The following is a 27,557-nucleotide window of genomic DNA, read 5'->3' on the forward strand; positions in this document are numbered from 1 at the left end:
AAATCCGGCGGCCTCAGAGCGCTTGCGCACGGGGGCGGGCCAAACCGGGGATGCATTTTGGGAGTTGTAGTTTTTAGGTACCGGGAGGAATCGGCTTGAAAGGCGGGAAGGGAGGAGTCACAGAAACTACGACTTCCGTCATGCAAGGCGCGCGATTCCGAGTTCCGGGTTGGAATTTAAATCCCCCTACACAGCTTGAGTGTAAGAGGAACTAAGCAAAAGAGAAAAAAAGAGAAGGTTCTGAGACAGTGGGAGATGGGAAAGCGAACCCGTGGCAAAAGCAGGCTAAGCGACATAGAAATCTTTTAAGATTCTCCGTATAGTTGCTCCCACAGTGATTTCAGATCTGGGAAATATAATAAACCAATCTCTAGTCAAAGTTAGCTTAATTTCGGTAGCGACAGTACCCAAAACAAGACCTTTCACATGGAGAGGATAGGAGATAATGAGATTATGAAACCTATTTAGGACTGGCAGACAGAACAACAGTAATAGTATCAGGTTACAGGATCCTTGATTCAACTCGATGCTCTACCCTTCGGAGGTAGCTGCTTCATCCACTAATGAAATTCTGTAAAGCCAGCTTTGCTTCTGTAAATGAATAGGACTTGAACGACTTACAGAATCAAATTGTTTTGCGTTGGGTAAAAAGCAAGTGGTATCAGACATTGCATTACTTCTGTTGAATATTGGTGCATATATTGTGAACTTTGTTACAAAACTAATCAAAAGACAGTGAAATGTTTAGGTAATAGATATTGGATGGATCCATTTTGTAAGCGGAAGGGGAAAAAAGTGTTTCTAGAAGTTGTACTTTTAGTCACATACCTAAAATAAGAATCAAATACAGCGCTAATTTAGAAAGTGATCTGTGTAGCCGGGCATGGTGACTCACGCCTGTTATCCCAGCACTTTGGGAGGCCGAGGCAGGCGGATCTTCCTGAGGTCAGGAGTTCGAGACCAGCCTGGTCAAAATGGTGAAACCCCGTCTCTACTAAAAATACAAAATTAGCCGAGCGTGGTGGCGCGCGCCTGTAGTCGCAGCTACTCGGGAGGCTAAGACAGGAGAATCATTTGAACCCGGGAGGCGAAGGTTGCAGTGAGCCGAGATGTTGCCACTGCACTCCAGCCTGGGTGATAGAGCGAGTCTCTGTCTGAAAAAAATGAAAAGAAAAGAAAATGATGCCGGGCGCGGTGGCTAACGCCTGTAATCCCAGCACTGGGAGGCCGAGGCAGGCGGATCACGAGGTCAGGAGTTCGAGACCAGCCTGTTCAACATGGTGATACCCTGTCTCTACTAAAAATAAAAAAAATTAGCCGGGCGTGGTGGCGCACACCTATAGTCCCAGCTACTCAGGAGGCTGAGGCAGAAGAATCGCTTGAACCCGGGAGGCGGAGGTTGCAGTGAGCCAAGATCAAGCTACTGCACTCCAGCCTGGGTGACAGAGCTAGACTTCGTCTCAAAAAAAAAAAAAAAAAAAAAAAGTGATATATGTAGAAACTATCACCAGTGCAATATGAAACAATTTTGTGAATGCCAACTGTCAAATGATTATAAATACTGATTTCCAGTGCTCATGTATTCTTCTTTATTCAGTAACAGATGTTTTATAGCCATTTTGTCTATTATTTTTAAACCATATTTAGAAGTAGTTCAATATATTCTTTTTTATAGACAATTTTATAGAATTGTCCAGTGCTTCAGAGATCAGCAGTCCTGATCACACTGTGTCAACAAGTAAGCCCTTCTAGTTTTAATTTAGGATATTTGGAAATATCCTACATTTCCTACATTTGGAAAATCTTTTGAAAAAGATAAGCATTTAATGAAACAGCAGCTTAACTAAGACACCTACTAGGTAAATTTCTAGTAAATTCTAAACACTTGGTAATATTTTCTGAAATTAAGATTTGCCCATAAGTTATAAAACCTACATTTGAAATGTGATGTTGTGAGTTAAATTCCCTATGTTTGAGGGAATTCAAGGACTTCAAAATTCATATGAAGTCCTAACCTCCAGTACCTTAGAATATGACTTTACTTAGGAATAGGATTATTTCAAATGTAATTAGCTAAATGTAGTAGGATGGGCCCCTAATCCAATATGACTGGTATTCTTATACAAAAAAGGAAATTTGGGCCAGGTGCGGTGGCTCACACCTGTAATCCCAGCACTTTGGAAGGCCGAGGTGGGAGGATCACTTGAGGCCAGGAGTTTGAGGCTAGCCTGGGCAATGATAAGAAACCTCATCTCTACAAAAATTTTTAAAAAATTAACTAGGCATGGTGGTGGTCACCTGTGGTCCCAGCTACTCGGGGCAGCTGAGGTGAGAGGATTGCATGAGCCCAGAAGGTTGAGGCTGCAGTAAGCTGTAATCACACCACCACACTCCGGCCAGGGTGTCATAGCCAGACCCTGTCTCAAAAAAAAAAAAAAAAAAAAGAAAAGAAAAAAAGGCCAGGGTGAAGGGGAGACTGGGTGGGGGTGGGAATTTGAACCCAGGCATGGGCCCAAGGGAATTTTGACCCACATGAACATGAACATGAAAATAGAGATTAGGGTGATGCTTCTACAAGCCAAGGAATGCCAAAGATTGCCAGCAAAACACCAGAAGCTAGGAGAGAAGTTGTTCTCCCTCAGTCCTCAGAAGGAACCAACCCTGAAAACACCTTCTCAGAGTTGTATTCTCTAGACCATGAGACAATAAATTTCTGTAGGTTAAGCCATCCAGTTTGTGGTACTTTGTTATGGCAACTGTAAGAAACTAATACAGAGAGGATTGTGGTTATCAGGCTATCATTTGAAATATACCAGAATGCCTAGAAAATGAGGAAAGTATTTTTTTGTTTAATTGTGGAGACAGAGGTCTAAGTTGCCGAGGATGGTCTCAAACTCCTGGCCTCAAGTGATCCTCCCACTAGCATTACAGGCTAGCATTACAGACTAGCATTACAGGCCGAGCCACTGCACCCAGTCAGCAAAGTGTTGTTGTACTTAAAGGTGGTGGGGGATATCTGGTAAACTTGATAGTTTAGTCATAATAGTTGCCTGTGTGGTCACCGCTGCACAGTATATTTGCAAAAGGCTGTCAAGATTAAACAGTGACAGGGCTGGGGTGCCTCCCCTTCTACCAATGACTCAGGAAGCTACTTCAGAAACTAAAAAGACAAGGGAGACCCTTCCCTATTCACCTATGTCTTTGCTTAGGCTCTCTGCTCCACACTTCTTGCCTGACTACTTATATTTTAAGACTCAAGCCAGGCATTAACTCCTCCAGGAAGCCCTCCGCAGTGTTTCAAAGCCAAGTTAGTTTTATAGCCTCACAGAGAAAGAGACACCTATCTGCATATTTTCATCATTATCCTCACCACACTGCAATAAAATTCTGTTCATGAATCTGCCTCTCCTGTCATTGTGTTAGCTCCTTACCAATAGTATAATACCTTGCACGCTTCAGTAAATGTCCACTGAATATTTCTTAAACATTTTTTATCACACTATCCCCAGTAGCCCACATTATCCTTGTTCCTTTATAGATCTGCTAAAATACTATAGCAACCCTTTTAGAGTAGAAGGAAGCTGTTGAAAAAAAAAAACCTACAAAAGTATTTATTAGGCTAAACTTGAAAATAAAGATAATACTTAAAAGCCGTAAGTCATGACATAGTATATTTTACTTTTATTTTTTAGAGACAGGGACTTGGTCTGTCACCCAGGCTGGGGTGCAGTGACACAATCAAGGCACACTGCTGCCTCGACCTCCTGGACTCAAGTGATCCTCCTGCCTCAGCCTCCCAAGTAGCTAGGACTACAACCTTGCACTACCATACCCAGCTAATTTTTAAATTTTTTGTAGAGACAGGGTCTCAGTACATTGCCCAGGTTGGTCTTGAACTCCAGGCCTGAAGCCATCCTCCCACCTCGGCTTCCCAAAGTGCTGGGATTACAAGTGTAAGCCACCACAATATATTTGAAAAATGAATTTATTTTGTTGATCAAGAAGAAAAAGACAGCAGACCTTAAGATGGGAGACGGGGGGAAGGAAGTACTAAAGAGGAAAAAGAGCTGAGGGCAGTGACTCATGCCTGTAGTCCCAGCACTTTGGGAGGCCAAGGCAGGGAGGAGGTCAGGAGTTCGAGACCAGCCTGGGCAACATAGCAAGACCCCCATATCTACAAAAAATAAAAATGTTTAAAAAAAGAAAAAGAAAAAAGGAAAGAAAAAATAAGAAAAAGAAAACTATATTTAACACATTAATAAGTTGAATCAGGTCACATGAATCTAAATATACTGTACAGCTAATGGCTCCAGTGACCTACACAGACCAGAATTGCTCTTGTTGTAACTAAAAAGCCTGTAACAAGTTTTAAAGGTTTAACATATTTAGAATAGTTTTACCATGACCTAGCAAGTATTTTCTGATTTGTACAATCTCAGAAGCCTCTGAAGAAAATTAAACTATTTTACCAAGATACTGGTCTTGCTTGGTATTAGACTTTCCTAACACCTCCCAAAATATTCTCCAGGATCTGATTCTGATGAGTCATTCTTTGACTAAAGCCAATAAAAGTAGACATAGCTGGGTAACATAAGACCTCATCATCCTGAGCCTGAAGATTGTCTGCTTATATTAAATCATTTTCAAACAATTTTTTTCTGATGTCAAATAAAGATAAATGCAAATATATAAGGTGTGGGGAGGTGTTTGCTGACTTCTCATACTGAGTTTGAATAATCATAGGCTCAGCATTAGGAACGGCAGTTCTAATTCAGGAGCCACTTCAAATCTATATTCAGAACAAGGATTGTCTAGGGCAGAAAAATTGTTTAATCGTTGTGTAAATGAGTGCAGTTAGGGAAGAAGAGACATTGTAATTCCTTCTGCATAAGATTTTGCAAGCTGGCCCAAATCTCTTCTAAGCACCATATTTGGAATACACAGTACTTTCTGTTGTAGATATGATACTGACTAATTTTTCAGTTTTCATAATTTTGGATGTGGTCATTATTTTGAGTCGATTGGGTAGATCACAGAGTAAGCAGAACCATATATCTGCCAGTTATTTCAAGAGGTCACCTAGTGCGATCCAGTCTCAAGGCAAGATTACCTGTTAACTACTCAAGCCAGACCAGTATCTGACTCTCCCCAAAGATTGTCAAGAACATTCAGCATCCCGTTCAAGTGTAAAAAACACAATTGCAAATTATTTTATCAATTCAGTTGGCGCAAAAGTAATTACAGTTTTTGCCATTACTTTTAATTACTTTTGCACCAACCTAATATAGCTTTCACCTCTTCATCAGCGACTGAGTTCTCCTTATACAATGCCCTATGCACTCCAGGAAATAAACCATGATTCACTTAGCCTGAGGAACGTTGAAAAGAAATTACAGGATAATCTCTGGCAGTCACATTAAGATATTATGAAGTCCTTATTTTTATTTTTTTTTTTTTATTTTTTATTTATTTTTTTTTTTTTTTTGAGACGGAGTCTCGCTCTGTCGCCCAGGCTGGAGTGCAGTGGCGGGATCTCGGCTCATTGCAAGCTCCACCTCCCGGGTTCACGCCATTCTCCTGCCTCAGCCTCCCAAGTAGCTGGGACTACAGGCGCCCGCCACTACGCCCGGCTAATTTTTTGTATTTTTAGTAGAGACGGGGTTTCACCGTTTTTAGCCGGGATGGTCTCGATCTCCTGACCTCGTGATCCGCCCGCCTCGGCCTCCCAAAGTGCTGGGATTACAGGCGTGAGCCACCGCGCCCGGCCGAAGTCCTTATTTTTAAATTTGCATACTTTTCTTAAGTATGTGCCCTCAAGTACCTGCACCCTTCTTCAAAAACTGTTTACTCTTAACTTGACAGAAAATTCAAATGTGCTTGGGGATCTTATTTTCCAGTCCAAACCAACTGGAAGAATATACTAGGAGAGAGAAAAGAGAATTAAAGGTGCTATACACTGGCTACAACAAGCAGTAGAATCATTGGATAGCAATAAAAGAGACTGTCAAAAATAACTACAGAATTGAAAAAGAACAACAACGTTGAGACACCTCCCTGTCAGGACAATTAGCCCTACCGCGGCTCAACTGCAGCTGAGGCTCCCTTGTATTATTATAATATCATATATAACAGTGGTAGGGTTGCCAGATTTAACAAAAATATAAGATGCCCAAATTCAAATTCAGTTTGAATTTCAGATTAACAAGGAATAATTTGTTAGTATAAATATGTCACAGGCTGGAATGCAGTGGCCCATGCCTGTGACCCCAACACTTTGGGAGACTGAGGCAAGAGTATTGCTTGCGCCAGGAGTTTCAGACCAGCCTGGGCAATATAGTGAGACCCTATCTCTATTTTTTAAGAAAGTCACAAATATTGCATGTATTTAGCTGAAATCCAGATTTTACTGGGTACCCTGTATTTTATCTGGCAACCCTAAGTAAGGAGCACAAGACAGTGACCATGAATCATCAAGAAAAGCACAAACTATGTTTAGTATGCAGTTCAAAAAATGTGTAACAAACATGATATTAGAAAATATTCTGCCCGGCCATCAGAGAAATGCAAATCAAAACCACAATGAGATACCATCTCACACCAGTTAGAATGGCAATCATTAAAAAGTCAGGAAACAACAGGTGCTGGAGAGGATATGGAGAAATAGGAACACTTTTACACTGTTGGTGGGACTGTAAACTAGTTCAACCATTGTGGAAGACAGTGTGGCGATTCCTCAGGGATCTAGAACTAGAAATACCATTTGACCCAGCCATCCCATTTCTGGGTATATACCCAAAGGATTATAAGTCATGCTGCTATAAAGACACATACACACGTATGTTTATTGCAGCACCATTCACAATAGCAAAGTCTTGGAAGCAAGCCAAATGTCCAACAATGATAGACTGGATTAAGAAAATGTGGCACATATACACCTTGGAATACTATGCAGCCATAAAAAAGGATGAGTTCATGTCCTTTGTAGGGACATGGATGAAGCTGGAAACCATCATTCTTAGCAAACTATCGCAAGGACAAAAAACCAAACACCGTATGTTCTCACTCATAGGTGGGAATTGAACAGTGAGAACACTTGGACACAGGAAGGGGAACATCACACACCGGGGCCTGTTGTGGGGTGGGGGGAGGGTGGAGGGATAGCATTAGGAGATATACCTAATATAAATGACGAGTTAATGGGTGCAGCACACCAACATGGCACATGTATACATATGTAACAAGCCTGCATGTTGTGCACATGTACCCTAAAACTTAAAGTATAATTTTAAAAAATAATAATAATAATAAAAGAAAATATCCTGGCTGGGTGCAGTAGTTCACACCTGTAATCCCAGCACTTTGGGAGGCCGAGGCGGGCAGATCACCTGAGGTCGGGAGTTCGAGACCAGCCTGACGAACATGGAGAAACCCTGTCTCTACTAAAAACACAAAATTAGCCAAGCGTGGTGGCGCATGCCTGTAATCCCAGCTATTCAGGAGGCTGAGGCAGGAGAATCACTTGAACCTGGGAGGCAGAGGTTGTGGTGAGCAGAGATCATGCCATTGCACTCCAGCCTAGGCAACAAGAGCGAAACTCCATCTCAAAAAAAAAAAAAGAAAGAAAAGAAAAAGAAAATATCCCATAGAAGGTATTTAAGATTCAGATAATTTAAAGTTTCAGTTGTTTGGAAAGTTAAATACATGAAATACTTTGGACCATGCATGTTCTATTCACTGCAGAGTGCCAGCTATAAACTAAACAGTAAACATTTGATGAATAATGAAAAGCTTCACACACTATCTCCCCATTGGTGGGGGACCTCAAGCCCCTAAAGGTTGTCTCTAGCCCCGCCTCATCATTTAGTTTTAGAATTCCCTCACACCTTCTACTGCAGCTGTCTGTTCCGTTGTCTTGCTTAAGTCCAAGCCTGACTCAGAATTGGTGTCACTGTCTGTGTCAGGCTCTCGTTCCCTCTTGTGCCTTTTGTCCTGTGGTTCCATGATGCCACCACAAACCTTCTCTGATGAGGCTTTTTGAGAGAATGAGATGATGCCTGCACTTCCCCAATATTTTGGGCTTCCTCTGCAAGCCCATTGTTATAAGGGTTAGCCAGGTGCATGGTGTGAAGGAAATGATAAAAGAGGCTCAACTCTTACCCCAGGAGCAGCTTTCCTAACCCCACCCACTGATAACAAGCATCACCTTGGGACTGATTATTGGTCCCTTGCAGTCCTCAGGGCTTGTGTTAAAGTTAGGGCTTTATAGAGTACTCAAAAAATTGCTAGATTTTATCTGAAACTTGTGTGCCACAGTTTGTTATATATTGTGGCCAGATGAGTACAAGGAATTGTCCCCATCTTGTACTTAAAGGAGACAGTTCACACTCCTGGTATGGTTTGCCTCTGAGTAGTGGGGTCATGGAGTGGGTCCATGGGAATAAGACATTCCTACCTTCAAAGCTTACTTTCTATCTTACAAGCTTGTCTGAAAATTCTTTTTCAAAAGTCCCATTTATCATAATAATTTGGAAAAATAAAATACAATTTTTTTTCTGGAGAAAAAAAGTCATCCCAGTTACCATCAATCTGGAAATTAAAAGCCAGTACATCACACGATACTGTCTAGTGCATAATAAACCCTTAGTTAGCCATGTCTATTATTATCATGCTAAGGAAAACTCCAAAATCTCCCCAAGCCTTTTTGTCTATTAGATTGCCTACAGTCCAGTTACGGCTGCTGAGGTCCAGTTTCTGAGCCAGCTGCCCCCACCACATACACACCCAAGCAGAATGCTGCCAATGACTTTTATTCAATTTTGTCTTCCTCCTGGGTAGTGAGTTTAATTCTCACCTCTGACTGCCTTTCTAGGATGTTCCTTATTATCTTCTATTGTGTTTCAGAGACTTCTTACATGTCTTCGCAAAGAAGAGTGGGAGTTCAGACTCAAAACTGTCAAACTAATATTCCCAACCATTCTCCAGCTGACATTCCAATTCTAATGGAGTCTCAACTTTTAATGTTTTGGTCATGCACAATTGTCAATTTAAAAATTCACAACCCTTCTGAAAGAAAGTCCATGAGTATTCATTGAGAAGAGAATCAGCCAGCCCAATTGAATGTTCTCTGATAAGCATGCAGTACAGGAGTAGTGACTGTCAGGATTATGGCCTAATTTCCAACCTCTAAAACCTACTGTGCCTTTTAGGTTACAACAGAAGATAATAGTGATTGGGTTCATTAAATCTGTGTGTTGGCAGTTTATTTTGGAATATGAAAAGTGACGTGAAAGATGAGATTGGGGTGCACACAAAAATTATTTTGAACACCTAGAGTAGTCTTTCTTGTTTAAACAACCATGTACTGCGAGTCTGCTATGTCTAAGACACTGTTTGACAACACGGAGGCTAGCAAGATGAAGAAGACACTGCCCCTCCCTTACGCTTATAGTCTAGTGGAGGAGAAATGTACACAAATATCACTAGAGAGAGTGCAAAAGAGGGAACTCAGATAACATCTAAAGTTCCCAATCAGTGCAGTTGGGTTTTAGGGTGTGTGTCACTTTAATCCTGCCTAGATAGGTGAGTTACAGCCTAGGTTGGCAATATGTGAGGGGAATATGGCAAAACCTGCAATGACTTTTGCACCAACCTAATAAAAGTTATTGTTTACAGAGGATCCCACCATGGCCCAGGTGTGTTCTCAGCTTATCCTAATAAAAATCCTACATGGTCATAGTGTTAATCCCATTTTACTATTGAATTTGTGGCTCATGCCTAAGGTCACACAGTCTAAAATGGAGCAGAGTAGAGACTATTACTTTCTATCACAGGGGTCATGTCTTAGTTATTAGTTATCTTAGTATCTCTGTGGCCTCACAGAGGGCTTGCCACACACCTGAGGACCGTGGCATAGTGTCACTGACACATCTGCCAAGAAGTTAAGTGAACTAGAGCAGAGCTTCTCAAATTTAAGATGCCTGTGAGTCACCTGGGGGATCTTGTTATAATGCAGATTTGGATTCTACCAGGTGATGCCAATGGTGTCCTACCAGGTGATGCCATTGCTTCCCCTGGTCTATGGTTCACATTTTGAGTGTCAAGGAACCAAGAGGAATGAAAGGAACCTGAACTTCTGTCTATTTAGGTGAAGTAAAAGATGTGGTTAATATAATTTGGGAATGATTTTTAGTGATCTGTAGGTAAGTGCTAGCTGTTTTAGAGAAAAGATGAAAGACATTACTTAGAAAAGGCAAATAAGTCATGTGGACCATGTCATTTCACAATACTCTTGGAGAACTCAATCACTTAGAACAGAAACGTGATACTGCAATAATCAATCATCTTTTAAAGCTTGGTACTCAAGTGTTAGGTTCCATGGAGAAACAAAACAGTGAGGGTGTGTGTGGTGGCTCATGCCTGTAATCCCAGCACTTTGGGAGGCTCAAGGTGGGCGGATCACTTGAGGTCAGGAGTTCAAGACCAGCCTGGCCAAAATGGTGAAACCCTGTCTCTACTGAAAATACAAAAATTAGCTGGCTGTGGTGGCAGGTGCCTGTAATCCCAGCTACTCAGGAGGCTGAGGCAGGAGAATCACTTGAACCTGGGAGGCAGAGGCTGCAGTGAGCCAAGATCATGCCACTGCACTCTAGCCTGGACAACACAGCAAGACTCCGCCACAAAAAAAAAAAAAAAAAAAAAAAAATGAGGCCTTTGTAGGAGACATGTTTTGTGCCCTCTGGAACATAGTGAGACTCTCTTTAAAAAAATTTTTTTAGGCCTGGAGCAGTAGCTCATGCCTGTAATCCCAGCATTTTGGGAGGCTGGGGCGGGTGGATCATCTGAAGTTAGGAGTTCGAGACCAGCCTGGCTAAAATGGTGAAAACCCGACTTTGCTAAAAATACAAAAATTAGCCAGGCATGGTGGTGTGTGCCTGTAATCCCAGCTACTCAGAAGGCTGAGATGGGAGAATCGCTTGAACCCAGGAGGCAAAGTTTGCAATGAGCCGAGATTGCACCATTGCACTCCAGCCTGGGTGATACAGCAAGACTCTGTATTAAAAAAAAAAAAAAAAAAGAAAAAAAATTTTAGTTAACCACTTCTACTTATTTCCATTATGATGCTCTGTAAAATTTAATCCATCTCCTTCCTTCAGAGTTTCTTTACCACCCAAGTCAACAGTGTGAAACGTGCCTTTAGGATCTTATTAGGTTGGTGCAAAGGTAAATGTGGTTTTTGCCATGAAAAAATTTAAATAGTAGTATACAAGGTGTTTGTTTCAAGTGTACATATCAGCATTTAACATAGAGAATTGCTATTTCCTTCATGACTTTTTGTTTCATCACAAATAAGGAATAACAAGAAAGTAGTGAAGCAAGACTCTATTAATTGTGTATACCTAGGCTTTCAATTAACAATATGTACATTTTTTGTAATTTATCTTTTCCTGTCTTTCCTCTGATTTTTTTTGTTTTGTTTTGTTTCACTCTGTCACCCTCTGGAGTTCAGTGGTCCCATTTTGGCTCACTGCAGTCTCAACCTCCTGGGCTCAAGCAATTCTCTTACCTCATACATGCCACTACACCCAGCTAATTTATTTATTTTTTATTTTATTTTTATTTTTTTTTCAGAGAGAGACAGGGTTTTGTCATGTTGGCCAGGCTGGTCTTGAACTGCTGAGCTCAAGCAATCTGCCTACCTCGGCCTCCCAAAGTGCTGGGATTATAGGCATGAGCCACTGTACCCGGCCTGCCTCTGATTATATTTATTAAAATATATGTCTATTGAATCAAATAATAAAAAATATGGGCTTATATTTCATATTTTCTCTTTTTTATTTCTTTTTTCTAGTAATTAATTTTGTTCTATTTACTAAATTATTGGTAAATATGGATTGGGGAAAAAATCTGTTCCTTCAGGTAGTTTGAGAAAAATTTCTCTATAGTAGTGTAGCTGCCTGTTAATGACTACCACCATCAAAGCCAGCATGGTGAAAAAGAACACTATTAGCTAATATATACAGAGTGTTGACTGTGTGCCAGGCACTGTTCTGAGGGCTTTATGTGTATTAACTCATTTACTCTTATAAATTAGCTGCTATTGTATCATTCTTTTACTGATGAGAAAACTGAGACATAGAGAGGTTGAGTCCCTTGCCCAAGGTCACACAACACTGAAGTGGCAAAGCCCAGTTCTAGAGTCCATGCCCTTACCCACAAGGGGATATAAGACACAGATTGTAGTCATAGTTCACGTAATAGCTGCAGGCTTAGGTGACTCATTTAACCCCTGTGGGAAAAGAAAAGAAAGAATTAGAAAACATAACAAAAGCTACATGGCAGAGTCCTTACATTGTGCCAGGCATTGAGCTTAGTGCTTACATGCATGATCTCACTGTCTCCTAAGTGTGGGGTGATACAGGAAATGGCTTCAGGTAGTTGATGGTTTAGTGGCACATGGGCTAGGCAGAAATCAAATTGCATCACATATTGAGAAAGCCGTTCCTTCTTTAAGCCTCTGACTCCTAATTACACCTGGCAGAGAGTCTCCCTTTGGTGCAGGTCTTGAATGACTTTCTAACATCAACTTACTTCCTTTTGTTATAAAAAAAGAGTAGGCCTTAGGCTTAACACTTTCTCAGGCAACAAGTTCTTTAATTTTCATTGCACCTTCAATTTAGGGCAAGTAGTGTTGCATTTATAACAGTGATATAAAATTTCCTTTTAAAACATTTATTGAAGTTTAAAAAGTGAGCAACAGAAAAACACCAAGAGGATAATAGTATAGGTCTTACACGGACTTGGCAAATGTTATGACTAAGGAAGTTTGGAAAATACTACATTATCTTTCAAAAACTCAGTAAGGTAGGTACTATTCTCTATTTCTAGGTAGGAGATCTGGAATTTAGAAAAGTTCAGTAACCTTCCCAAGGCCACTCTGTAGGAAGTTGAGGAGCTGAGCTTCAAACCTGGAAGTGTCTGCTTCCAAAATCAGTGCCCTTGACCATGTATTGCCTCCTTAAGATGATGACTATGTATGTTTCCTGCCAGGACTAGCACTCCAGACTGCGTATATGTCATGATTTGAAAGAACAGTTATCAAACAGTTATTAAAGTGTGGTCCTTTCAGGCGGTCCTCTGGGTAAAGGTATTTTCACCAAATACTAAGATGTCATTTGTGTCTTTCACTCGTTTGCTCACCAGTGTATCGGGGAGTTTTCTAGAAGCTATGTGACATGTGATATATCACAACACATTGAGTACAGAACCACAGATGTGAATCCAACTGTCTTCTCTTATGCTGGACATTAAAAAGACTTGCAGAAACATACATGATGCCATTCTTCTCAGTAAATCTTTTTTGTTTGTTCATTTGTTTTGGAAAACACAGGTTTTTTTAAAGTCATTTTTGTTAACATGTCATGGGTTTATTGTTATTTTTAAATGAATTAGTAAATACTTGAAACATTTATCCATCTTAATTTCTAAAACAATAAACATCAATACAATATAGCCCACATAAACAAGTTTTTGGGGGTTGTCAAGAACATAAAGGGGACCAGGTGTGGTGACTCACCCCTATAATGCTAGTGCTTTGGGAGGCCAAGGCAGCAGGATAGCTTGAGCCCAGGAATTTAAGACCAGCTTGGGCAATATGGCAAAACCCTATTTCTACCCAAAGTACAAAAATTAGCTCTGCATGGTAGCACTCGCCTGTGGTCCCAGCTACTTGGGAGGATGCGGTGGGAGGATCACTGGAGCCCGGGATGTTGAGGCTGAGTGAGCTGTGATCATATCACTGCACTCCAGCATTAGTGACAGGGCAAGACCCTGTCTCAAATAAATAAATAAATAAGTAAATAAAAAGAATGTGGCTGGGCGCGATGTCTCATGCCTGTATTCCCAGCACTTTGGGAGGCCGAGATGGGTGGATCATTTGAGGTCAGGAGTTCAAGACCAGCCTGGCCAAGATGGTGAAACCCTGTCTCTACTAAAATTACAAAAATTAGCCAGTCGTGTTGGCAGGCACCTGTAATCCCAGCTACTCAGGAGGCTGAGGCAGGAGAATTGCTTGAACCTAGGAGGTGGAGGTGGCAGTGAGCCGAGATCGCACCACCGCACTCCAGACCGGGCAACAGAGCGATACTCCATCTCAAAAAAATAAAAAATAAAAAAGGCTGGGTGCGGTGGTTCACGCCTGTAATCCCAGCATTTTGGGAGGCCGAGGCAGGCGGATCACCTGAGGTCAGGAGTTCAAGACCAGACCGACCAACATGGAGAAACCCTATCTCTACTAAAAATACAAAATTAGCCGTGCGTGGTGGTGCCTGCCTGTAATCCCAGCTACTCAGGAGGCTGAGGCAGGAGAATCGCTTGAACCTGGGAAGCTGAGGTTGCAGTGAGCCAAGATCATGCCATTGGGCTCCAGCCTGGGCAACAAGAGCGAAACTCTGTCTCAAAAAAAAAAAAAAAAAAAAAAAGAGAGAATGTAAAGGGGTCTTGGGTACAAAGTTTCAGTTAGGAGAAATAAATGATAAGTATTTAAGGTGACAGATATGTTAATTAGCTTAATTCAGTCATTCCACATTATATACATATATGATAACATCACTGCGTACCCCATCATTATATAAAATTATAATTTGTCAAAGAAAATTATTTTATAATTTAAAATAAAAGAAAAAAGTGTAAAAAAGTCTTAAGATGAATATGTGATAGAATAATATTTTTAATAATTAATGGTAACTTTTTTCTCCCATATTTCCACCCTTCTTTTTCTCTCCCACTCCATTCCATTCAAGCATGTATTCCTTGCATCACATTCGAGCACGTGATTCATTGCTTCAGAAGAGGAACATTACCAAGTGGAAAGCAGAAATGGTTTCTAGCTTTTGTGTTTCCAAAAAGCCTAAACCTATTAAGCGAATTATGCCCAGTGCTTTGAGGCAGTAATAACAAAATGGAGCAAGTGCCACTGAGAAAAAATAGCAGCAGTATTGAGAGAGGGCAGCTTTCCCAGGACTAGAAAAATATTTCTAACTTCCTGAGAGTGGGTGTAGGGAAGAACAAAGACAAGAGGGAGATTAGGGGATCAAAAACGAGAGGACTGGGCTGAAGAGGCCAGGAAGACAGAAACCAGACACATCTCAGCTACAGTGGGCCATCTTCCAGAGTCCAGGAGCCACCTGGGAGCTGGGAACTGCCATTGCCTAAATCCAGAGTCTCTGAGAGCCAGCTATTCCCTCTCCATGTTCATGACTGTCTGCAGGAGTAACACCATTTGCCTCATGCAACCTGAACAACTGCACCTTCAAAACATCCTTAGCCCATCAGAAGCCCAAGTAAGAGTAGCTGGGGTCCTGGATACCCAGAGGTTTGGTGAAAGTCAAGTGGAAATCAGCTCTAGAGTTCATATGGGGGGATTCTGCCTGGAATAAGCTGTAGGTCCACCCTGAGCTGGGAGAGCAGTTCAACATACCAGAATATTAGGATCACCAGACAGACCTGCTGGGAGTCTATAGCAAATAAGGGCCTATGCTGTGTTCTAACAGAAGCGCCAACTGATTGTATAATAGTTGATTGAGGTCAGCTTACAAGTGAGTTTTCCTGGTCCAGTATAGGGGATTTGCTTTGGTTGGTTGTTCTCATCAGAGTGCTTTTGGGAAGAAAAAACTCTGCAGGCCCACTGTCTTTCTTCACATCTAGCCCCTTCACTCATTAACATTCCTGCCTGGCCCCTGAGGACATCTAAATTTTCTGAGCCCTCCTATGCAAAGTGCTCGACCTACAATAGGGGGATTCCTTGACATGAAACCCTGACACTATACAAAATCACAAATACATGCATTTTTCTAAGGAGCAAGTCTTAGCTTTCATCAACTACTCAAAGGAGTGTCTGATACTTGGGTTGGAATCCTGGCTGCTGTTTACTAGCTGTGTGACCTTGAGCATGTCACTTAACCTGTCTATGCTTCCATTTCCTTATCTTTGAAATAGGGATGGTTATTTATTTTTGTATTTACTTATTTATTCAGAAACAGAGTCTCACTCTATCATCCATTTCATCCAGGCTGGAGTGCAGTGGCACAATCATAACTCACTGCAGCCTCAAACTCCTGGGCTCAGGTGATCTTCCCGTCTCGGCCTCCCAAGTAACTGGAACTACAGGCACATGCCACCATGCCAAGCTAATCTTTTAATTTTTTGTAAAAACAGGGTCTCACTATATTGCCCAGGCAGGATTCAAACTCCTAACCTCAAGCAATCATCCTGCCTTGGCCTCCCAAACAGGGATATTAATAGTATCTAACTCTAAGGGCTGATATGAGGAGCAAATGAGCTAGTATATGTAGAGGGCTTTGAATGACCAACTCTATATAAGTGTTTGCTATCATTATTATAGAGGACATAGACCACAGGGGGGATGGGAAGCCTGTGTCTAAGGGAAGACAGTGTAGAGAGGAGAGTGAGTACACCTTTGTTAAACCCAGCCCATCTTTAGGACGTACCTGCACAACCTTCAGAGCTTGCTTACTCAACAAAGGGTCCCGGCATAAACCTCACACTGGAAGTGGGCAGGGAGGCTGCGCTGCCTGTGGCCAGAAATGTGCTAGCTGCTAGGTTATTAGTGTACCTCCTGTTCTAAGAAAGACAAGGATCTGAAGGTGGTAGTAAGAGGGCGCCTGAAGTCGTAATCTTGGAGACCACGATTCTGCCCTAGAAGCCAATGTCCCCTAAGTTCTGGGCTGTAGTCGCCAAGCTGGCCTGGAGCAGGAGGTATAGCAGAATCAGACAGCAGAAACTGGAAACCTGCTCCTCCACTTTCTAGCTGAGTGTTCTTGGGCAACTTACTAAACCTCCCTAAGCCATCATTTCCTTTTCTGTCAAATTGAGCAATAATATACGCACTATGGTCAAATAATTAATGTATGCAAAGCACTTAGCAAGTACATAGTGAGTGCTCAATAAACAGAGCCAATACTATGGTAACGCTGCAGTATTGAGATCAGGCTGACAGGGAGCTGAGTGGCAACTGATCAGATGGGGAATCCTAGAAGAGCAAGTTGAAGGAGTAATACAGTGATGACACATGTGGTCCATTGTGCAATTTTTTGCTTTGGCTTGCCTCAAAGCTTGGGATCCCAGATTTGTTAGGGTCTCTTTGGGCTTCTTAGGAACCAGGAGGGAGGAAAATAAAGATCAGAATATTCTTTCAAAACCATTTCCTCCCTCCCCACCCTAACATTCCTATGAAGAGAACTTGTGATACTGCTTATCTTAACAGAAATCCAATCAAACTAGCTTAAGGACACAGAACTTTCTCACAGGCCTGGAGAAAGGATGTGATCAAGGCCACAAGCCCTCATCTCTTCTGCTTCCAAGGTATCCCTGTTTCTTTTCATTCTGCAAACCTACTTTCTCCTTTTTATGATGTACATGATAAAAAATTGTTGACCCAGACAGCACTGCATGATTTCCTGGCTTAAATACAGCAGACTAGAGGTGCCCTATTCTCCAACCCAAATTCCTGGAAGAGGGAATTTATTGGCTCAGCTCCTATCACATACCTGCCCCTGATACTCTCAATCAAATGTACGTATATATGGGATGGGGGGATTAAACAGATTGAGTAGTGCAGACACATAATTTCAAACAATTTGTAGAAGAAAAAAACCAAATGGCTAACAAACACTTGAAAAGATACTCGTCTTCACTAATATTCAAAGAAATGCAAATTAGTACAACAATGTGAGGTACTAATTTTTTTTTTGGACTGTCAGATTGGCAACAATGAAAAATAAAGGTAACTGAAGGAAACTTGCTAAGAGAGGAAGGTGATATGATTTTTCTGGTGTCCTATTGGGCATTATGTTTTAATATTTTAAATGTGCATAAGCTTTAACCCAGTTATTTTACTTACACAAATTTATCCTAAGGAAATAATCAGAACATGCATAGGCATATATCTACATATATGTTTATTGCAGTATTTCAGTATTTAAGAAAAACTTAGAACATCCTATATGCCCTTCAGCGGAGGGCAGAGATTATGGTACAAAAGAATGCTGAGAGACCATTATAAAAATTATAAAGAATGAGATGGATCGGTATGTAAAATGTATATGACAAATTGTAGAGAAAAAAAAAAAGCCAGGCATGGTGATTCATGCCTGCAATCCCAGCACTTTGGGAGACAGAGGCAAGTGGATCACGTAAGGTCAGGAGTTTAAGACCAGCCTGGGTAACATGGTAAAACCCTGTCTCTACTAAAAATACAAAAATTAGCCAGGCATGGTGGCACACACCTGTAGTCCCAGCTACTTGGGAGGCTGAGGCACGAGAATCATTTGAACCCAAGAGGCAGAGGTTGCAGTGAGCCAAGGTCATGCTACTGCACTCCAGCCTGAGTGACAGAGCAAGACTCTATCTCAGAAAAATAAAAAAAGCAAGGCACAGAAAAGAGTGGATAATATGACCCCATTTTTGTTAACATATAGAGTATGTATTATGTACTATACATAGTATATTCGGGGTACATACATATATGTATACACACACATATATATATTTGCGTGTGTGTGTGTGTGTGTGTGTGTGTGTGTGTGTAATATGTATCTGAAAGAATACATATTAGATCCTTTTGTAGTTCATGAGCAAGATGATTGGGTGATCATGCACATGTGTGAGATGGGCCATCCTCAAACCTTGTTACAACATTGGCATATTACCCATCTGATATGAAAAAACATATGAAACTAATAATTGTGGCCTCTGGGAATGGAATTATGGGAAGTTTTCACTTTCCACTTTATCCCTTTTCATATTGTTGAATTTTTTTTAAGCATGAATTACTTTTATAATCAGAAGAAAAAGCAGTGAGATATTCAATTTTGGGAGGAAAAAAGAGTACAGATTTCATATGTGAAAGGAAAATACCTACTATTTTAAAATTAAAGAAGGAAAACAAAAAATCCAATATTTTCCCAGTAACAATCAGGCATAGCAGGTGGCAATAAAGTCTGCCCCTGCCCAGGGCCTGGGGTTGTTAGGAGGAGCTCTCTAGGTTAGACAAGAGAAAAGTCAGAGGAGCACCACAGAGTATATAGCACTATCCTTTTTTTTTTTTCCTCACTCTATTACCCAGGCTAGAGTGCAGTGGCATGATCATAGCTCACTGCAACCTTAAATTCCTGGGCTGAAGCAATCCTCCTGCTTCAGCTTTCCAAGTAGCTGGAACCAGGATGCATTCCACCATGCCCAGCTAATTTTTAAAACTTTTTTGTAGAGATGGGGGAGTGTCTCACTACCTTGCTTAGGCTGGTATTTAAATCCTGGCCTGAAGTGATCCTCCTGCCTCAGCCTCCCAACGTGCTGAGAGTACAGGCATGAGCCACCACACCTGGCCTAAGGACCATCCTATTTGAAGAATTTGGCTTACCTGCAACCCAAGGGCCTTTCTCTTCTGCTATAAATGAATTAATGAACTTAATTAAATCGAATTTAACTCTTCAGCTCAAGGCCAAAAATAATATATTTTTACATTTATATATGAAAAGAAGAGGCAGGTAAATGATGAGAAATGAGGTATGCAACCGAGTGAGGGCTTGGATATAGGAAGACCTAGAGGCCCAGCTGGGAAACTGGAGGTGGCCTGGGGTAATTCCAGAGACATATTTACTTGCTATCAAACATGGATTTGTATGGGTGCTCAGATGTTTTTTCTTTCTTTCTTTTTTTTTTTTTTTGAGATGGAGTCTTGCTGTGTTGCTCAGGGTGGAGTGCAGTGGCGCCATCTTGGCTCACTGCAACCTCTGCCTCCTGGGTTCCAGCAATTGTCCTGCCTCAGCCTCCTGGGTAGCTGGGACTACAGGCACGTGCCACCACACCTGGTTAGTTTTTGTATTTTTAGTAGAGACAGGGTTTCACCATGTTGGCCAGGCTCGAACTCCTGACCTCGTGATCCACGCTCCCCACCCCTCCTCCACCGCCAAAGTGCTTGGATTACAGACGTGAGCCACCACATCCAGCCGGATGCCCAGATTTTTAAAAGAAACTTGAGTAGGTTGAGAAATTAAGATCCTCACCAGGATAATTGTTACTTTTCTAAGTGTTTCCCTTTGGATCCTTCCTTTCTTCATAGGAACATACTAAACGTTCAATGCCACAATGGATTTCAATGGGGAAAAACTAATCTTGCTTTGTAGACAACTTTACAGGAATGCCTCAGTTTCATACACTGCAGGATAGTTGTATTAATTTGGCATAGATAGAAATTTCAATTAACATAGTCTTTTTTCTTTATTTGCAGCAGTTCACCAACAATGCATTTTAGAGCATTGCTCACCCTCAGCATTAGAACTGAGTGAATCTTCTGTTGAAATGGAGGCATCTATTCACCACATTACTTTTTCAAGCCTCTAACACCTTAACAGGCAAACCTCAGAGGAAGGTCTGCTTTCCTCTTCCTTTAGAAATCCCCCCTAAGCAAGAAACATTTGCTGAATGCCTAGCTGGGGACTTCAACATTGTTAGCACATGTGAGCAGCCTTCCAAAACTGTTTACAGTAATGGTAACGTTGGTAATAATACACCATTGGACTTACTGCAAAGACAATTTTTTCAATGTTTGTTCATATAAAACCTGCCAAATTGTCGATATTAGAGTTGGTCATTCCTTACATTATGAGATTCCTAAAATGAAAATAGCAGTAATAGATCCTGAGAGCTGTGAGGTCATTTTGTTCAGTTTACATATTAAGGACATGAGTCTTTGGAAGATTAGGAAAGTTGTCTATAGTTTCATGACTACGAAATGGCAGATTTTTTTTTTCCAAACCCCATGCATTTTTTTTTAATCACAACCGTGCATGCCTCTCTCAGCCCCATATCTGCCCCAGAGATGTCAAACATTCCCTCCTCCCTACCCATATACTGCCTTGGAGACTCTACCCCGCTCCTAACTTGGAAGAGAGAGTACTACCTGCCATGTGACTGTGCCCCATCAGTCTCAGTTACTGACCCAGGAGTAGACATCTGACTCAAACTGGGTTGATCGAATTCTCTCCCAGGAATTTGGAATAGGGACAAAGAGGCTGAGTCATTTAGCTGTGTGGAGCCAAGCTGCAAGGTCATGCCCAGCTGGCCTGCCACAGCAGGCCAAAACCTCATGCTAGCCACAGTGAAGGGAAGCTGAGAAACCATGAGTCAGCAGAAAAAGCTCATCTGCAAACAAAAGAGCACAAAGATGGGGCCGACTGATACTCAGAGTCAAATAGAGAGGCCATGTACCTCAAAAGGCAGAGGAGAGAGAGAGAGAGAAATAAAATCTGCATAATCCCCTTCTTGGCCCTATAATGCCCAGCAGCTGTATCTCCAGCGCTGGCTTACTGTGACCCCCATAATAACCTCTGCCTTTCAATCAACCCTCTTTTTATTTGAGTTAGTGGAATTCTGTTCCTTGCATGCAAATTCTTCCTAAGACACTTCACAATTCATATTGAATATATTTTGGGGTAGAAAGACTATTCTGCTCTTTATGACGATTATGGAAATTGAGGTTTTATCTCAAAACCCACAACAGGCTGAGCAGCTTTCGGCATTCTCGCCACTAATTATCCAGACTCCGGAGACTGAGCTTTCAAGGTGAGTGGTTTTCAGAACTGCAAATGAGAGCCAGCCCCATTCTGGGTCTCTTTCCCCAAGGATATCTTAGAGATATTCAGTTCAGGAAGAGAGGTCTTATTGTAGTATGTAGTTGCCATCTTGGGAACATATGTCAGGACTTCCTAAAGTCTTTCTGCTTAAAGTTTCCAAGAAAGTATGGAGCCTGATTTCTCATAAAGCCACTTTTCCTTTAAAGGTACTTGTGGAATCTCTATAGGCCCAAGGTTGACATGACCATATCCGTGAAAAGCTCAGGTACTATTTCTGTGCTAATCTCTTTAGAATAACAGAAAGAATTTATTTTAAAAATTCTACTTATCTTTCTCAAATTATTAGAGCTAATCCTAGTATAAAATAATGGAGAAATAGTTGAGTAAATTAGAGTGCATCAGCTGGTGGAATACTATGCAGATGTTAAAAGGGATAATTAACAAGATTAAACAACATGAAAAGACGTTTTTGATTCAATGAATGAGGAAAAAGGTAGAATACGAAATTGTAAGTATCAACCTTATAAGTATCAACCATGTGAAAATGGGTTTACATAAGGACATTTTTCTTGGTGGTCTTTTTTTTTTTTTTTTTGAGACAGAGTTTCGCTCTTGTTGCCCAGGCTGGAGTCTGGAGTGCAATGGCGTGATCTCCGCTCACCACAACCTCCACCTCCTGGGTTCAAGCGATTCTCCTGCTTCAGCCTCCTGAGTAGCTGGGATTACAGGCATGCGCCATCACACCCAGCTAATTTTGTATTTTTAGTAGAGACGGGGTTTCTCCATTTTGTCAGGCTGGTCTCAAACTCCCGACCTCAGGTGATCTGCCCGCCTCGGCGTCCCAAAATGCTGGGATTACAGGCGTAAGCCACCACACCCAGCCTCTTGGTAGTCTTTAACAAGGTAACTGAGGTTGCCACAACCATAGATCTTGGTACGTAAGATAAAATCTATTGAGCATTTCTGCCTTAGAGGATTTTGGCTAAGGTAATGTCACTGTCCTAGTTCAGTTCCAGAATTTGTTCCTATATTGTCCAGATTCTGTGCCTTTTGCTGATCTACTTCTGTGCTGGTCCATAGCACTCTCAACTGATGGGACCCACTGATTATAGAGTTCTCAGTCTCTCTGTCTGCAGTTACTTAAACTCTGGTATGGAGATCTTTTGCTTTGCACCACACAAATGTTAAGAACTACATTTAAATTGCTTTCATTTTTTTTCTGCCTACTCTTTTCCAAATCTGTGTCAAGGTGGAGATATGACTGTCCTCCAGTGTGCTAATAATGTCTGCAAAGCTTCTGGGAATACCTGCCAAAGCCAAGGTGTGAGGGAGAGACCTTGAATCTCTCCTTGCATTTGGTGGGAAAAAAACAATTTATAGATTGAGTGCCTCCTGCAAGACTTTTTTTTTGTTACAGAAAAATCCTTTTATGGCTGTTTTCTGTTCCAATCATGAACAGAAGTCTCCTTGCAAACAGAGGCCTCCTGCTGCTTTTCAAGGGTTTGGTGGCCTAATCATTTTGTGCCTGCCCTAGCAGACACTTTTTATGTTTGTGGCTTCTTATCATCTCTTAAAAGCCCTTCCAATATCAAGGGAATTTCTATATTTTGAGTTCTGTTTTTCAAGGTGAAACTAGAACTCTCTATTCTAGTCTTATTTGCGGCCAAGATGCAAGCATGTGACCTAGTTTCTGCAATCAGATGTAGCCATGCAACACTGAATGCAGAAGAAAAAACCATGAGAAAGCAGGTGTCATGCAGAATCTGTTTTCTGGTGAAGCTATGGAGCTTGCCAGTGGCACAGAAATGGCCCAGCACCAGTGTTGGTATCCCCAGCAGAGAGTTAGTGCAGCCACAGTGCCAACGCCAGCGGCGTTCTCTTCTATAACAGTCCAGCAGTATGATTTGGATATAACTTCCTGCCAAGTAGCCCAGAACATGATTCTCTGGCCCTTCCAGACAGTCTATGTGCTATCTAATACCCTTTAATACTTTCAATTTATTTTATTTTCCTTCTTTTTTTTTTTTTTGAGACGGAGTCTCACTCCGTCACCCAGGTTGGAGTACAGTGGCGTGATGTCAGCTCACTGCAACTTCTGCCTCTCTGGTTCAAGTGATTCTCCTGCCTTGGGCTCCTGAGTAGCTAGGACTACAGGCACAAGCCACCACGCCCAGCTTATTTTTTGTATTTGTAGTAGAGATGGGGTTTCACCATGTTGACCGGGCTGGTTTTGAACTCCTGACCTCAGATGATCCGCCCACCTCGGCCTCCCAAAGTGCTGGGATTACAGGCGTGAGCCACCACGCCCGGTTCATTTTATTTTTAAACTAGCAAGAGTGGATTCTGTTGTTTGCAACCAAAAATCTTTTTTTTTTTTTTTGAGACAGAGTCTCTCTCTGTCACCCAGGCTGGAGGGCAGTGGTGCGATCCTGGCTCACTGCAGCCTCTGCCTCACGGGTTCAAGCGATTATCCTGCTTCAGGCTCCTGAGTAGCTGGGACCACAGGTGCACACCACCACACCAGGCTAATTTTTTTATTTTTAGTAGATACTGGGTTTCACCATGTTGGTCAGGCTGGTCTCGAACTCCTGACTTCAGGTGATCCACCCACCTCGGCCTCCCAAAGTGCTGGGATTACCGGCGTCAGCCACCATGCCCAGCCACAACCAAAAATCTTGAACAATATACCTATATTCATGATTTTACATTAGGCTGAAAGACAAAAGTGGGCCGGGCACGGTGACTCACGCCTGTAATCTCAGCACTTTGGGAGGCTGAGGTGGGAGAATCACCTGAGATCAGGAGTTCAAGACCAGCCTGGCCAACATGGTGAAATCCCCATCTCCACAAAAATACCAAAAAATTAGCCAGGCATGATGGCGGGTGCCGGTAATCCCAACTATTTGGGAAGCTGAGGTGGGAGAATCGCTTGAACCCAGGAGGCGGAGGTTGCAGTGAGCCAAGATTGTGCCATTGCACTCCAGCCTGGGTGACAGAGTGAGACTGCATCTCAAAAAAAAAAAAAGTCTTAAAAGTGATTTATTGGCCAGCCATGGTGGCTCACGCCTGTAATCCCAGCACTTTGGGAGGCTGACAGGCAGATCACGAGGTCAGGAGTTTGAAACCAGCCTGGCCAACATGGTGAAACCTCATCTCTAATAGAAATACAAAAATTAGCTGGGTGCACTGGCTGGCGCCTGTAATCCCAGCTACTTGGGAGGCTGAGGCAGGAGGATCACTTGAACTCGGGAGGTGGAGGTTACAGTGAGTTGATATCACGCCATTGCACTCCAGCCTGGGCAACACAGCAAGACTCCGTCTAGAGAAAAAAAAAAAGTGATTTATTTTTCTTGTTCATCATGTTTCCCCAGCCTGTAGATATAAATTTGGTCACTTTTTTTTTTTTTGAGATGGAGTTTTGCTCTTGTTGCCTAGGCTGGATGCAGTGGCACAATCTCAGCTCACTGCAACCTCCACTTCCCGGGGTCAAGTGATTCTCCTGCCTCAGCCTTCTGAGTAGCTGGGATTACAGGTGCCCATCACCATCACCAGGCCCAGCTAATTTTTTGTATTTTTAGTAGAGACGGGTTTCACCATGTTAGCCAGGCTGGTCTCAAACTCCTGACCTCAGGTGATCCACCAGCCTCAAACTCCCAAAGTGCTGGGATTACAGGTGTGAGCCACTGTGCCCAGCCAATTTGGTCACATTAATGACAAATCCTAAATTTTACTGGCTCTTGTTTCAACCTACATAATGCAGGTTTTCCAGCCTCACCCGATGTCTCTCCCAGAATCCCCAAGGATGATCTCATATGTGCTCACAAACAGTTCTCTCATATTCCTCTGTTTTGCCTCCTATGTTGTTGGCTATGGCCCAAGAAGCCATTTGCAGGTCCATACCTATGTCAGTGCCAAGCATGACAAGACTGTTGTCCACGATAAATGTGTGCTGCCTCCTAATGCTTTCACTCCATGTCACCCCTCGACCCAGCACCACAATGTAGGCCCATTTGCCTTACAGATGTCTCTCATAAAAATGCTTCCTTTAACAACTGTATGAAGCCCTTTTGTCTCTGGGGCTCAGAGGTGTGTACTGGGAATGAGCTGAGGAATCAAACAGGGTGCTTGCTTGCTTTCTCTCTCTCTCTTCCTTCCTTCCTTCCTTCCTTCCTTCCTTTCTTTCTTTCTTTCTTTCTTTCTTTCTTTCTTTCTTTCTTTCTTTCTTTCTTTCTTTTTCTTTCTTTCCTTCCTTCCTTCCTTCTTTATTTCTTTCTTTCTTCTCTTTCTTTCTCTCTCTCTCTCTCTCTTTTTTTTTGAGACACAGTCTCGCTCTGTCGCCCAGGCTGGAGTGCAGTGGCGCGATCTCTGCTCACTGCAAGCTCCGCCTCCTGGGTTCACGTCATTCTCCTGCCTCAGCCTTCCGAGTAGCTGGGACTACAGGCACCCCCGCCACCACACCCGGCTAATTTTTGTTTTTATATTTTTAGTAGAGACAGGGTTTCACTGTGTTAGTAGGATGGTCTCCATCTCCTGACCTCGTGATCCGCCTGCCTCGGCCTCCCAAAGTGCTGGGATTACAGGCGTGAGCCACTGTGCTCGGCTCTTTTTTGTTTCTTTATTCTTTTTCCAAATCACAGGCTTCTCTCTCCTCTCCCCTCGTGCAAATCAAGTCACACAAATTGACATCTGCAAATAGATATCACTGGCTGTACCTAGTCATCATTCAAGCCAGTCAGAACAGTTTAGGATCAAGCTGGTGGACTTCTGAAGCATTATTTTTATTTTTCAATGTTTCACAGTTGTTGTTATAATGGTATTTTTCAACAACTAGAAAAGTATGGCCTAAAACAGTCAACTTGTCCTATAAAATTTATGCTGACACAGTGTGCCTTTGCCAGAATACTTTCTTACACGTCTTCTTCTCCTACACCCCAGTGTATTTGTCTGTTAACAGAATACAGGAACTTCTTTGGCACGTAGATTCTGAATGTCAGCACAAGCACTGAGTCTTAGGAAAATGGAACAAATTAGGGAATTTCTCAGCAGTACCACTGCCAGCTTTCTCCGGGCACTTGTACCAGTGTTTATTTTAATGACTTCAATCAGGATATGTTCCTCACCTTAATGCAGAAGCTCAAGATTTTAGAGATCAGCAGAGGATTCAATGTATTTTAGTCTTGCTTTGCAGAAATTATTGGGTGGAGTTTTTCTGTGAGGAAATGGAGCAGTAAAAATCCCTTCTTGCCACCACTTTCCACCCCAGCTTTGTCATTTGGCATCTGTCCACCTGAATTTATTTTAACAGTTCCAGCTTATGGTTCATAAAAGATCATAAACCAATATTATGTCCACAGATTGAGTTCTGCATATAGCATTTAAACATCTCTTCTCTAGAAAAATTACAAAAAATGCCTTAGAGTTCTGTAGGTACAAGATTTTCATTGTTTTTTTGTTTTTTTTTTGTTTTGTTTTGTTTTGTTTTTTGATTCAGTTTTATGATGTCTTTTGGAAACATGGTTTGCCCCTTGTATAGTGAACCCTTGTACATTTTTCAAAAGTCATCAAAGGACAAAGAAAGGAAAAACTGGTGAATGTGACAGAGGCACCCAGCAATGTTCTGAGGGACAGATTTCACAAGCTGCCCAAGTGGCCCAAAAGAATTTACAGGGAAGGCAGGTAAGCCCTTTAAGTTTGATTTCAAGTTGAAGATGCATTCTGGGGAGCTTTGACCATGGAAAAGGTATCTGAGGGTCTCAGTTTACTCTTCGTATCTGTAGCTGAACCTTAGATGAGAAAAGAGACAAATCTTGAGGATGTGGTAGGCAGGCAAGCTACATGAGGAGGAATAGCAGGAGATGTGGAGGAGAAACGTGACTCAGGATGTACTTGGAAGATAGATGGCTTTCA

At 42.0% G+C, this 27,557-nt stretch overlaps 1 non-coding gene across 1 annotated transcript, besides 5 other annotated features; it reads left to right on the forward strand.

Moving 5' to 3' along the window:
* Nucleotides 212-521: an enhancer, noted in NCBI's record as "active region_24800". NCBI's record gives its function as "activates an Ori minimal core promoter by ATAC-STARR-seq in GM12878 lymphoblastoid cells {active_cell/tissue: GM12878}" and the evidence as "EXISTENCE:reporter gene assay evidence [ECO:0000049][PMID:35858748]".
* Nucleotides 3,347-3,466: an enhancer, noted in NCBI's record as "active region_24801". NCBI's record gives its function as "activates an Ori minimal core promoter by ATAC-STARR-seq in GM12878 lymphoblastoid cells {active_cell/tissue: GM12878}" and the evidence as "EXISTENCE:reporter gene assay evidence [ECO:0000049][PMID:35858748]".
* Nucleotides 7,919-8,058: an enhancer, noted in NCBI's record as "active region_24802". NCBI's record gives its function as "activates an Ori minimal core promoter by ATAC-STARR-seq in GM12878 lymphoblastoid cells {active_cell/tissue: GM12878}" and the evidence as "EXISTENCE:reporter gene assay evidence [ECO:0000049][PMID:35858748]".
* LOC124901528 (small nucleolar RNA U13) lies at nt 18,632-18,735 on the forward strand. Its single transcript, XR_007059959.1, has one exon. It is a non-coding gene; the product is annotated as a small nucleolar RNA U13 (small nucleolar RNA).
* Nucleotides 22,743-22,852: an enhancer, noted in NCBI's record as "active region_24803". NCBI's record gives its function as "activates an Ori minimal core promoter by ATAC-STARR-seq in GM12878 lymphoblastoid cells {active_cell/tissue: GM12878}" and the evidence as "EXISTENCE:reporter gene assay evidence [ECO:0000049][PMID:35858748]".
* Nucleotides 23,543-23,602: an enhancer, noted in NCBI's record as "active region_24804". NCBI's record gives its function as "activates an Ori minimal core promoter by ATAC-STARR-seq in GM12878 lymphoblastoid cells {active_cell/tissue: GM12878}" and the evidence as "EXISTENCE:reporter gene assay evidence [ECO:0000049][PMID:35858748]".

The sequence above is a fragment of the Homo sapiens genome, chromosome 6 (assembly GCF_000001405.40).
Source record: "Homo sapiens chromosome 6, GRCh38.p14 Primary Assembly".
Taxonomy (NCBI): Eukaryota; Metazoa; Chordata; class Mammalia; order Primates; family Hominidae; genus Homo; species Homo sapiens.